This window comes from Homo sapiens, chromosome 4 (assembly GCF_000001405.40).
Source record: "Homo sapiens chromosome 4, GRCh38.p14 Primary Assembly".
Classification (NCBI taxonomy): domain Eukaryota; kingdom Metazoa; phylum Chordata; class Mammalia; order Primates; family Hominidae; genus Homo; species Homo sapiens.
Window position 1 is genome coordinate 137,630,551 of NC_000004.12, and position 13,783 is coordinate 137,644,333.

General features: G+C 38.1%; 1 annotated feature.

Annotated features, from left to right (window-relative positions):
• Positions 1,317-1,817: an enhancer, noted in NCBI's record as "H3K27ac hESC enhancer chr4:138553021-138553521 (GRCh37/hg19 assembly coordinates)". NCBI's record gives its function as "activates a minimal SCP1, AML or CMV promoter by ChIP-STARR-seq in naive H9 embryonic stem cells {active_cell/tissue: H9 hESC(naive)}" and the evidence as "EXISTENCE:reporter gene assay evidence [ECO:0000049][PMID:30033119]".

Genomic DNA, 13,783 nt, shown 5'->3' on the forward strand with positions numbered 1-13,783 from the left:
TCCACAGTGCTATTCTGTGTTTCTTTGTGTTCATCTTCCAATTTATCTGATTATTGTGAATTGTCTTCCTGTGTACTTGGCTAAAATAGGCAGAAAACAACACTTCAGAATTTTTATTGTGTTTAGTGAAGGCTAAAGCAGACTACACAATATTGACAAATTTATTTTATACCTTTTTAAAAGATAACACAATACTTTGGGCAAAATATTAATAAGCCAAAAGATAACAATTTATTTCACTTTATTAATCATCCTTGAGTTGATTTCATCATTTTTTTAAAATTCTTATCATCTTAGGTTTTTCAGCACAGCTGAACATAATTGCTGAAATAATTGATGAGTAATGAAGAGTATAGATAAAATAATTCTTAGGTTTATGAAATAACAAAATGTTTAAAGGAATATAAAAACATAGGTTATTAATATGTTAAAATATATCTTTTTTAAAAATAAAAGCATTGACAAATCCATATAGTAATTAAAAACATAATAAGCTTTATTCTGCTAACTTTTTTCCCTTTGAACTCAGGAAATCTTTAAGCATAAATAAGAGTCAAAAAATATCAATCTTTATAAAATGCTCAAAAAATAAAGTTTAAAAATGGAAATTGAGTCCAATGATTCCTTATGTACATTCAGAGTTAAAGGAATGAAACTAAGAGGTCACAGAGACATATGTATCAGGAGTTGGAGGCAAGATAGCCAACTAGATGCAGCTAGGAGGAACATCTAATGGTTCAGAGGGTCATGGGACCACCAAGGGAGCAGGACACCAAGAAGACTGGTGCACTCTAAACAGACCTTAAGAAGGAAGGCATTGAGAGTGAACAGAGGAAGGTCACAAATGCTGGGCTGAAGGGTGAGAAAGCTGGGCCCTGCATAGGGTTATACACATGGGGACTTGTTCCTGGCCCCCAGTGACTCCTGGGGAAGGGATGAGTTGAGGAGGCAAGGAGCAACCTGTTCTCACCACAGGCTTCTGAAATCCTAGAATCATTAAACCCCACGGCCCCCACAGATGCTCAAGAGCTGGCAGGGATAGCTGCTTTGAGAGGTGGTAGTGGTAGGACTCCAGCCTGTGTGAAGCCCAGAGGGTTTGGTGTGGAAATGTCTGCAGGAGAGCATGGCCAAGGATGCCCATCCTCCAAGGCTGGCCGGAAGTGTCAGACCTGAACAGAGAAGGGCAATCTTGGATCTTGCTAGTGAAATCGGGCCAGTCCAACCTGAGTGCCTTTTTGTCTGCTAGCCTCTCCTGGGGCCCCAGCCTGGCCATGACTGCTTGTAGTGCAGCCTCAGATGCCCAGTCAGGGTGCCCCTGGTGAGCCTGCATCATAGCTGCTACATTGGCAGATGGTGCCTTACTATCAGAGAGCTCCAGCACAGTGGACCCCACTGACAGGCACCAGCCCACCTAGATCTTCCCTCCACCCACCACTTCCTCCTCCATGTCACTTTGTTGGCATATGCTTGCCCATGACCACTCTCACCCATCGCTTTGCTGGCTTGCATATACATAGGCAGAACTTGTCTCCTCCCCTGCCAGTGTGTGGGTGCCACTGCTACACAGTCATTGCTGACACAAACACATGCATGAACAACAGCAGCATTGCCCCCCTGCTCTGTGCTGCCACTGCCACTGCCATGAACATCCACAGGGATACAAGTAGCCATACTACCTGTCCTGCACCACCACCACCACTGGCACAAACATGAACAAATTGCCAGCACTGTGCCCAGCAGTGCCCATTCCTGCACCAACACTGCTGTGGGGGTGAATGTATACATGGACATCAGTGGCCCTGCCTGCCCCCCAACCATACCATCACTGCCACCACTGCAAGTGCCTGCTTGAAAGCCAGTAGCTCAGGCCTGCTAGTGTCCTGCGCCAGCTGGGGAGCATGCACCCCCATGCTGCTGCTGCTGCTGGCACAAGCCAATGAGCATAGATCCTGCTGCCACTGCCCAATAAAGCAGTTTGACTGGCACCACCCTTTGAAATGCTGTGGCCAGAGGTCCAGGAACACCTTGGCCCCTCCAGTCCAGTAGGTTTCCAAACTTGAGGGGCCAGAGAATAAAGCCGGGGGCCCCATACCAGCCCCCCAGAGTTAAAACACACAGCCCAGGGAGGCTATGCTGAGCCTTGGCCCTCCAAAAATCTACTAGAAGTGAAGCTAGTTGACTGAACCCACGCTACATCATAATCAAACCTCCAAGGACATCAATGAAAATAAAAGAAAGAAAAGAATTTTCAACCAATAATTTCATATCCAGCCCAACTAAGTGAAGGAAAAATAAGATTCTTCTCAGACAAGCAAATTCTAATGGATATTGTTAACACCCAACCTGCCTTACAAGAGATCCTGAAAGGAGTGCTAAACATGGAAAAGAAAGACCATTACTGGCCACTAGAAAAACACACTTAAGCACACAGACCAGTGACATTATAAAGCAATCACACAAACAAGTCTGCATATAACCTGCTAACGACATGATGACAGGAACAAATCCACATATATCAATACTAACTTGAGACTAAACAGGCAAAATGCCTTAATTAAAAGGCACAGAGTGGCAAATTGGATAAAGAAGCAACACCCAACAGCATACTTTCTTCAAAAGACCCATCTTACATGCAATGACACCCATAAGTAAAGGGATGAAGAATAATGTACCAAGCAAATGGAAAACAGAAAAAAGCAGAGGCTGCTGTGATGGTTAATATTAAGTGTCAACTTGATTGTATTGAAGGATGCAAAGTATTGTTTCTGGGTGCGTCTGTGAGGATGTTGCCAGAAGAGATTAACATTTAAGTCAGTGGACTGGGAGAGGAAGATCCATCCTCAGTGTGGGTGGGCACCATCTAATCAGTTGCCAGCACAACTAGAAAAAGCAGGTGGAAGAAGGTGGGAATAAGCTAGTTTGCTGGGTCTTCCAGTTTTCATCTTTCTCCCATGCTGGATACTTCCTGCCCTTGAACATCAGGCTCCAGGTTCTTCAGCCTTTGGACCCTTGGACTTACAGCAGTGGTTTGCCATGGGCTTTCGTGCCTTCAGCCACAGACTGAAGGCTGCACTGACACCTTCCCTACTTTTGAAGCTTTGGGACTCAGACTGAGCCACTACTGGCTTCCTTGCTCCTCAGCTTGCAGACAGCCTATTGTGGGACTTCACCTTGTGATTGTGTGAGTCCATTCTCCTTAATAAACTGCCTTTCACATATACATATATCCTACTAGTTATGTCACTCTGGAGAACCCTGACTAATACACTGCTATTCTAATTTCAGACAAAACAGACATTAAACCAACAAAGATAAAAAAGACAAAGAAGGATATTACATAATGGTAAAGGACTCGATTTAACAAGAACTAACTAACTAACTAACTATATATATATATATATATATATATATATATATATATATATATATATCTCCAAAACAAGAGCACCCAGATTCATAAAGCAAGGCCTTAGAAACATAGGAAGAGACTTACATAACCACACAATAATAGTGGGAGACTTCATTTAACACCCCACTGAAAGTACTAGATCATTGAGGCAGAAAATTAACAAAGATATTAAGGACCTGAACTCAGAACTGGATCAAATGGACCTGATAGGTCTCTACAGAACTTTTCACCCCAAAACGACAGAATATACATTCTTCTCATTACCACATGGCACATATGCTAAAATTGACCAAATAATTGGACATAAAATAATCGTCAGCAAATGCAAAAGAACCGATGTTATAAGAACCACTCTTTTGGAACATCACACAATAAAATTAGAAATTAAGCCTAAGAAAATTGATCAAAACCATAAGATTTCATGAAAATTAAATTAACCTGCATATGAATGACTTTCTCCCCCCTCTGAGACAGAATCTCCCTCTGTCACCCAGGTTGGAATGCAGTGGCACGATCTCGGCTCACTGCAACCTCCACCTCCAGATTCAAGCAATTCTCCTGCCTCAGCCTCCCAAGTAGCTGTGATGACAGGTATGTACCACTGTGCCCAGCTAATTTTTATAGTTTTAGCAGAGACAGGGTTTCACTATGTTGTCCAGGCTGGTCTCGAACTACTGGACTCAAGTGATCCACCTGCCTCAGCCTCCCAAAGTGCTGGGATTACAGGAGTGGGCCACCTCTCCCCACCTCCTGCATGACTTTTGGGTAAATAATAAAATTAAAGTCGAAATAAAGAAGTTCTTTGCAACTAATGAGGACAGAGATACAACATGCTAGAATCTCTGGGACACAGCTAAGGCAATGCTAAGAGTGAAATTTACGGCATGAAATGCCCACTTCAAAAAGTTAGAAAGATCTCAATTTAACAATCTGAGTGATCTGAGTGATATCAAAAATTCCTTGCCCAAAGTCTTTCCTTACCCCACATTTATTGTGATATTATCTGGTATTTCACCATTATCAAGCAGTTTAATTCTTTAGTTATAAAAATATCTAGAATTCAGATATTTAAAGAGAGATAATTCAATCATGTATTAGTTCGATTTTGTTTTGTTTGGTTCAGATTGTATGTTCCAAAAAAGAAGCTGAAATTTATACTTTAAGTAAATGGATGTTTTCGTTGGCTGGCAAGCAGAAACATGCCATTTTGAAGGATGGAGCAATGCCATCTGGAGTGTGATTCTGTGTCCAGAGAGAGGACAGATGAGAGTACTTTGTCCCAGAGAGAATAGGTGTTGGGAAAATGAGTGTTGCTCAAGAAGGAAGGCAGAGTCACTCACAGCAAACATTACATTTTTTGTTGCCTCAGAGATTTGGTTTCTCAATGTCTGATACGCCTGACTTACAAAGAATTCTCTGAATTTTGTGTGTATATATCACAGAGAGGATTCTGAACCCACATCCGCTATATCTTCTTCAGTTGTAACATAAACCTCCATCTCTTTAACAAAATCCAGGGGAACAGAATATTAATGCTTACTTTGTTTCCTTTCAATATTCAAAAACAAGAAAAGGAGGAAGGCAAACGGGAGGAAAAAGAGAAGGAAGAGAAAGAGAAGGAGAGGGAGAGGAAAAAGAAAAAAAGGAGGAAGAGGAGGAGGGAAGGAAGAAGACTGAAAAAATATATTTGAAACAAATTTCAGATAACTTCAATGAGAAAATACAGATGTCATTTTGCACTGTCAGTCAGATATAAATACTGAAATTGTTGCCAGAATCCTGTGGAAATCATAGAGGGCTTGCTTGACAGATTGGGGATGAAGCCAACAGTAGGACTCTGTTTTCAGGTTTAGTTCACATGATATATTCATCTTGAACAGCAGGGGGTAAATTTTCTAAATAGGTCACTGGGGATCCACACAAATCCCATTAACGGGTAATAGGATTTGTATGCACAAATTCTCTTGCCCTGAAAACTTAGATTTTGGTGTTTAATTTTCCATATGACCTGCATACTCATTAGTGTACATTAGAAGAAGTTTCTCTGGCAAATTTCACATAGTTTTCATTTCCTTTTGTTTATTCCTGTCTAAAAAGACATTTTCCAAAGGTTAATCTTTGAAAATGTCTTTAGTAGCTGAAAACATCTAACAGGGGATTATATAGAAGAGAAAATTGTTGAAATACAGTTATTCATGTTTTTAGCAGCTTATTGGGAAAAACTCTAAGAGAAAGAAAGAAACATAGATTTTAAAATATCTTTAAACTATCAGAACAAGCAATATTATCCTAATATATTTTTAAATACTCTAATATTTATTTTTTAATACAATCAAGTTAGCACAATTTATTTGCCTACAGTGGGTATCCAAGATAATGTTACCAATTTGGATTTTCATGGGAAAATAAAAGTATGTCTTTGGGTCCAAAGGCCAATTGAAGATCATGAGCTTTTCAAGAGATGATGGCCAAGAAAAGGAGCATCAGGTTCTCAGCCAGGCTCTATTTTAGATGAAAAATATAAGATCCTCAATCAAAATTTTGAAGAATAAACTTGGCAGGCTTCTGTGAGTGTTGTTTTGAATTTTCAGGTTCAGTTGAATCCAAAATCAAAGTAAAATGTAATGGGTTTATCCCTTGAGCATGGACCTGTAGAAGGAGTTGGGGGGATTATGTGTGCCTTAGGCTTCTTCACCTTAGTTTCACACAGTTCCATCTGACATCATCATAAATTCTTTAAAATTTATGGTAAATTGTGCTTTTTAGTACTAGTACTACTAAATAAAATACAATGTAACTTTTTTAAACAAACATAAGGGGATAATAATAAGGGTAGAGACACTACAGGATACACATCTGGTTGGAATTTACTGATTCCATTTCAGCTGCCATTTACTGATTCCTATAACTTGTCAAATGATCTCAAATACATCTTTCTCATTTAGTACTCATAGTAAACTGAGAAAATAGATATTATCTACGTTTTGGCAAAAAAAGATGTTTGGAAAAGTTACTTAGCCTTCCCAAGCTTACAAGGTTAGTTGGTGCCTGGCTAGAGTAACCTGCTTCTGCCTAGTTCCAAAGATACCTCTAGATTCATCCAAGAGTGCAATTTAGGCTGGATGCAGTGGCTCACACCTGTAATCCCAGCACTTTGGGAGGCCAGGGAGGGCAGATCACAAGGTCAGGAGTTCGAGAACAGACTGACCAATATGGTGAAACCCCATCTCTACTAAAAATACAAAAATTAGCCGGGCATGGTGGCACATGCCTGTAATCCTGGCTACTCAGGAGGCTGAGGCAGGAAAATCGCTTAAACCCGGGAGGTGGAGGTTGCAGTGAGCTGAGATCGCATCACTGCACTCCAGCCTGGGCAACAGAGCAAGACTGTGTCTCACACACACACACACACACACAAAAAAGGGTGCAATTTAGTCACTCTTAACCCATCCGAATATGTATCATGCCAAGTGGTATAATTGCTAATGTGACAGCGAGTTGTAAGTCTCTTTTGTTTTGTTTTGTTTTAGTGGCTACATATTTGAATAATCGTAAACTGGATTTAAATTACAGATTAGTTCAGTTGTAAGAGATTGTACATGGAGACAATATAAAGTTTTTTTTATTGTTTACCTTAAAATGGACTATGTATTTTCTCCACTATTTTTTCAAGTGAATATTTTTTAAACCAAAGCTGAAGAAAGGGAATCTGTAGACTGATTAGGGAAGTGTCTATGTTAATGTAGAGAGAATAGAGAGACAGATAAATAAAGCAACCAAGAGGAAGGTAGCCTGAAGGGTTTGTTGCTGCCCTCACTCCCATGGCTCCAAAAGAGATGACTGATTCTGGAGGCTCAGTGTACCAGTTAATTATTGCTATGATAATCCTGCATAACATACACCCCACAAGTTATCAATAGAACACAAAATAAAAATTTTTTAACTCATGCATCTGTGGGATATCTTGGGGATGGTTAACCTAGGCTGACACAGCTCTTCTCCATGTCAGTCATCCCCCTTGGACAAGCTGGATATCCAAGGCAAGTTCCTCTCAAGGCTATGGCAGAGGATTAGGAAAGCAACTTGAAAGTTGCAAAGCCTTCTGAGGCATAGACCCAGAGTTGGCACACCATCATTTCTGCCATATTCCATTTGCCAAAGTAAGCCACATGGCCAAACCCAAAGTCAGTGGAAACAAAATATACTATATTCAGATTCTAGAAGAAGGAACTACAGAATCATATAGTAAAGAGAAGGCATACCACAACAGGTGAAGCACTGGAGTCAGTAATGCAATATGCTACAGCCAGCATAATCTCCAACTGGAGAAAAAAGACTAAAAAAATTGTCTGAAGCTAGGCCAGAAAGTTGAATAATTTATTAGCTGAGTGAGTATAGCCTGTGGGGTCTTATAAAACTCAATTGCCAGTGGGTTGAGGAATCTTTAGGCAATTGCATTCATACAGAGTTTGTAAGACTTAAAGAGATTACAGGCATGCACCACCACGCCTGGCTAATTTTGTATTTTTAGTAGAGATGGGGTTTCTCTATGTGGGCCAGGCTGGTATCGAACTCCTGATCTCAGGTGATCTGCCCACCTTGGCATCCCAAAGTGCTGGGATTATAGGCGTGAACCACTGTGCCCGGCCTGATCATGCCAATTTACTGGTGAACCCACGTAGTTCAGGTCACTTTGCTTATTTTAGAAATGTTCAAAACCTAAGTTCTGCATTTCCTCTTCATTTTTCATTTTTCTCTTTTCTGAAACCTCCTCACTCCTCCATACCTCTTTTCATGCCTCTCACTGATTCCAACATCTATCTAATATAATTTGTGCTCACCTTCCATGTTATTGCCTGGGACCCAAATCTAGCTATCTTCTCCCTCTACTTGAGAGACAGATAATAAGAGCTGGAGGGAAGTCAGATGGTGACATTGAACGTAATCCATGCTTTCATTTGTGTAAGGCTTTGGGATCTTTGGATATATTTGGTAATGAGGCTTCCCAAAGAATTTACTATTTGCAGAAACAGAAAATAATTGGCTCAAAGTTCCTCCTGGCCTAGGAAGAAATAAACGAACAAACAACCTCTGGTACTAGGTATGTGTGTGGTGTTGAGGGTGGTGTGGTGGCTATTCTTCAAACCACAAACTATAGAATGAAAGTGGGTGTTCTTGTTTGACTGCTTTTCTGCATCCTATATGGCAAACCTATGCAAATGTCGCATAACCACCTATACACCATGGTCCTAGTCAGTGTCTCCCTCTCAGAAATAAGCCAGAAGGAGGCTGACTAGGTGTCTCTGTATTATGCAATATTCATGTCTCCTCTTATTTTTTTTAGATACAAGTGGCCATGAGATTTCTATGTTGTGCTATTTTGTTTGGCTTTAAAGGGTGTGGACATGAGCTCTTTGAAAACACTGGTGCTGTTGTGAGAATCGGAGTGCTTTCTAAGATACATACATCAATCTGCGTCTTAAGCTACCACAGATCTAGTGTGCCAGAACTGGTTCTCAGTATCAATTACTTTCATATGTGATGTTAGAACTCTGAAAAATGTGTGATTTTTACATTGTCATAGAAAAAAATAGTGGCCCATGTTTCATAATCTTGCAGGTGTTTTCTGTGCTTCTAAGACTTCTATTTCATTCTTGATGGATATAATTTGAGTTCCCCTGGGAAGTTTCTGGGAGGAATTACTTCCTTATCTCCCCATACGTTATTTTTATAGAGGACCCTTAGGTATGTATCTATTTGTGCCTAGGGTAAATAAGTATCTCTGAATAATAGGTCATTACATAGTTTGCTTCAGGAATAATAATGTTTTAAAGTTTCAGTTATTACAAGATTTTAGGAAAATCCATGGAAACAAATTCAGTAAATGTTATAAGAATAAATTTGCTAAAATTAAAATATTTTTATTAATATAGTATTCTACATTTTCTTCGCAAGTGTTTTGTGTGACCTTTCTTTAAAAAATGCACTTTACCATAGAACAATTTAATAGAAATTGTCATAAAATAACAATTCATACCTTCAATAAAGGTATTAATATTACCTTTATTGAAGGTAACCACTATTAATAATAATCTAATTAATAATTAATTTAATTAATAATGAATAAAACTATTAATAATAATTTTGTGGATGCATAAAAAACTAAATTACTTTTCTATGCCTTCTAATAAAAATAATGGCAATCATTTGACCACACTTGATATGTGACAGGCATATTAAGTCATCTTGCATTATTTCCTTGACTTCTTGAAACATGTTGGATGTAGATATTTATTATTATTTATACAGTGCAGATGTGTAACTCCTATTTGGAAAGTTTGAGCGGCTTTCTAAAGTCATATAGGTAATGAAAGAAAGAGTCAGGTTTCAAAACCAGAGTCATCTAACGTCATAGACCATTTTCTTAATCATTATACTGGACATGAAACTTCAGCGTAATATGAGTGCAGATTTTACTCTTTTAAAGTGTTTTTTTTTCTATTCTAAAATAAGAAATAGAAAAGTGGGTTGGTACTAAGGGTAGCCTTCACAAAGTACAGGATAAATAGAACAACATCGTAAATAATAATGGGTGGAGAAAAAGTTTTCTTATTTCCAACTCTTTGACCACTTTCCTATGTGTTCCAGACTTATAAATGGTGAAGAAGGCAGCATCAACAGTTGGACAAAAGGAACTATGTTGCCAGGATAATGTCATCTCATCAATGTCATGGAAATCTATTGCTCATAAAGCATTAGTACTCAGAAAGAATAGCCACACCAAGAGCAAGCTGTCTGATTGGCCAGGGAATTATAATAGCTTTTAATGGGATTAAGAACTCTACCTAAAACAAAAACAAAACAAAAAAAACACATTATACCAGAGCCAAGGCTGAGCTGTCAGCTTGTGGAGATGGAGCCAACAGTGGAACTATTCATTTGACAATGCACATGACAAGATTCAGCTCAGACCATAGGGGGCACATTTTCAAATGAGGCCTCATTGATCCTATTCTGTAGTAATGGGATTTGTGAGCATCAAGTCTTGTGCATGAAAAATCTACATTTAGGTGACCAATTTTCCATGTGACAGAGCAATTTATTAAATCAGAAACTGAGCAAAATGGTATAACTGTTCTGGCAACTTTTAGTTCCGTTTTCTCTCATATCTCTGCTTTGTCAAAAAATGATACAGTCATTGAATGATAAACTAAGTGGAATGGTGAACTTACAGTGTATAAATAATGTAATGATACAAAGGGAAATTTAAAACTTATAAGACGTTTATGTTTGGTGAAATTCATCTGATTAAAAATAATAATGTAAGTGAAAGAAGTTAGCACAGTTCCTGAAACCTAAGACAGACTTCTTAAATGTTTCTTGAATTTGATAGAACAAGCTCATTTTAAAGAGACTTGGTTTTAATTATTAATCTGCTGCTATCACACTGCTATCACAATGCTCTCTGGGTAAAATTGTATAATTTTGTTTTTCCTAGTGATGCTGAAACCATGTTATAAAATATGCATGTTGTCGTTATTTATTTTGTCTTAGAATTAGTGGCTAAAGACATCTTAATTTTATAACCATGGACTTCTTTATTTCCTTTCCTCCTTTTCTGAATTTGAAGCAAGAGTTTTATTCAGAAGCATGTGTTCTATGATGCCATTTTGCTCACATTAAGTTGAATTTTTGCCAGGTGTTATGTTAGATGCAATCACCGCTGGGGATTCTGTGGGTGTTACTGAAAATTACTTGGACAGAAAAACAATATGTTGGCTTAATACAGGCTGAGAAAGTGGTGATGCAGGGGCACGAGGGAGTACTTCGCAACATGTAGCAGTGGCTGGAATTCTTTCTGCACCATTTCCAACCAAAACATCTCTACTCAGAGCTTTGTCACTTTACTGACAATACTCAGGTCAAAACTTTGTAGATTAATATCTTAGTGTAGATTTGTTCTCCTAACATAGCACCTACATAACTGAGTAATTTTTAACACTGTTTAAAAAGTGGAGGTTCTCCATTAAAAAAAGAAAATAAATTTTAAAAATTAAAAAAATTATCGAGAAATACAAAATATTGATAAAAAATTAAAAAGAAATAGACGAGTTTTAGCCAATCATGAAAATAGAAGTTTTCTTTCCTATAAATAGAATAGTTTTAGCCAATCATGAAAATAGAAGTTTTCTTTCCTATTCGCTAAGCTATTTTCTTTTATTCCCCTACCACTTGTTCTATGTCTCCCACTTTTCTCTACATGGCACATAAAGGGACCATCTGTTCTTCAGCTGCCCCATCCACATCAATGACTTTCAAATTCTTTCCTTTAGTCATTCTCTCTTACCCTCAGTTCTGGTTCCTTAATCCAATCAGTCAAATAGTATTTCCCACTTAGGTTATTTATTTACGTTTTTTTTTTCTATTTTTGTATAATTTTTAAATTTCAAAGACAAACATATATTCCTCTTATAAGAAGAAGTAAACAACCATCCCAATTAGCCTGAAACTGTCTGGTTTTACTAATGAGTCTCAAGCCCCAAGGAACCCAACAATCCCAGGCAAATCAGGGCAGCGGCTCATCCTAGGAAGATAATGATAGTTCTAACTATTCTGGCAGCCAAGGCAAAGATGAAAAATTGCTGTTTATCATAACTCATTATTATGAGAAATAAAATATACCGGTTCTCCTGTGGAACTTGGGGTGTGAGGGGTGTGTGTGTGTGTGTGCACGCGCATGTGTGTGCGTGTTTGCCAACTTCTAAATTTGAAAAAAAAAGTTAGTCGGGGTAAGCATTATTCAAGAGGCACTAAGTAATAAGTAATATGCAGAATTCTTTCTATTTCTCAAAACAACAACAACAACAGAAATAGGACCTAAAGGGCTAGTTCTTACATTGATCTGTGGAAACAGAAAGACCTAAACCTGGTAAGACAGAGGATAGGTGAAAGTAATTAAGTAAAAGTAATTTTGTGGTCATCTAAAGAGCTGATAAAACTTTCTAGACAGTTGTATGTCTAAAATAATTGAATAAATAGGTAATATGTCTCTTTAAGATATCATCCTATAACAATGATTCCTTTCTGCTAGGTATTTAATAGGACCTGGATAGCAGAGGAGAGATTGATCATTTGATCAAGGGTCTTATTAAAAGCCTTACTGCTTGGTACAGGTAGAGTATCCCTAATCTGAAAATCAGAAATCCAACATATCCCAAAATCTGAAACTTTTTGAGTGCCAAAATGACTTCACAAGTGGAAAATTCTACACCTAACCTCATGTGACAGATCACAGTCCAAATTCAGGCACAAAACACACATTTAATTCAGCATCCCCAAGAAAAAAAAAGATCCTCTCAGCCCCCTTCAGCTGTCATATATCTTTTCCATGCATGCCCAGTTTTCCCCATAGAAGCACACCCACAAAGGGTAATAAAATGACATTTGTGTAGGCCAGATGCCCCAATGGCAGGTTCCCCATGACACCTCACATGGGGCCAAGACCTACATGCATTACTCACTGTTTTTTGTTTGTTTTTGTTTTCGGATTACTTTCATCTCTATATTGTAAAGATATTGCTGAAAACATTAAAAAGTTTTGCAGATACCCCTGTTGATAACAGTGATATAAAAAAGGAAGTATTCATGTTTATTTATAGTACAGAAAGTCAAGCTGCTGGAAAAACACTGGACAGCAGTGTAAGTGTGAAACATCTTATAGAACAGTATGGTGTTGGAATGTCCACCATATATGACCCAAAGAAACCAAAGGATAAACTATTGATGTTCTATGTTAAAAGTGATGAACAGAAGTTAATGAAAAATAGAAAAGCACTGCAGAAAAATAAAAATGAACATCTCAATCATGTATTAAAAGAGTGGATCCATCAGCAAAACGGTGAACATATGACATGATGGTATGCTGATCATGAAAAGAGCAAGGATCTATCACAATCAACTGAAAATTGAAGGGAAGTATGAACATTCAACAGGCTGGTTGCAGATATTTAAGAAAAGACGCAGCATTATATTTTTAAAGATTTGTGACAATAAAACATCTGTTGATCACAAAGCCACTGATAAATTCTGACAAGTTTGCCAAGGTTGCGCTGATGAAAATCTGATGCCAGAACAAGGCTATTTGGCTGATAAAATATTGCTGTCTTGGGATTATTGTTCCAGAAAGACACGGACTATAGTTGATAAAAGAGCCCGTAAAGTAATTAAAAATGGCAGCAGCCAAATAACTGTGCTAGAATATGTTAATGGCTCACCCATGTATTAGTATTACTGTAAATTTGCTGTAATAGGAAAAAGTTTTAATTCTCATTGTTTTCAAGGAGTAAATATTTTACCAGTCCATTGTTATGCTAG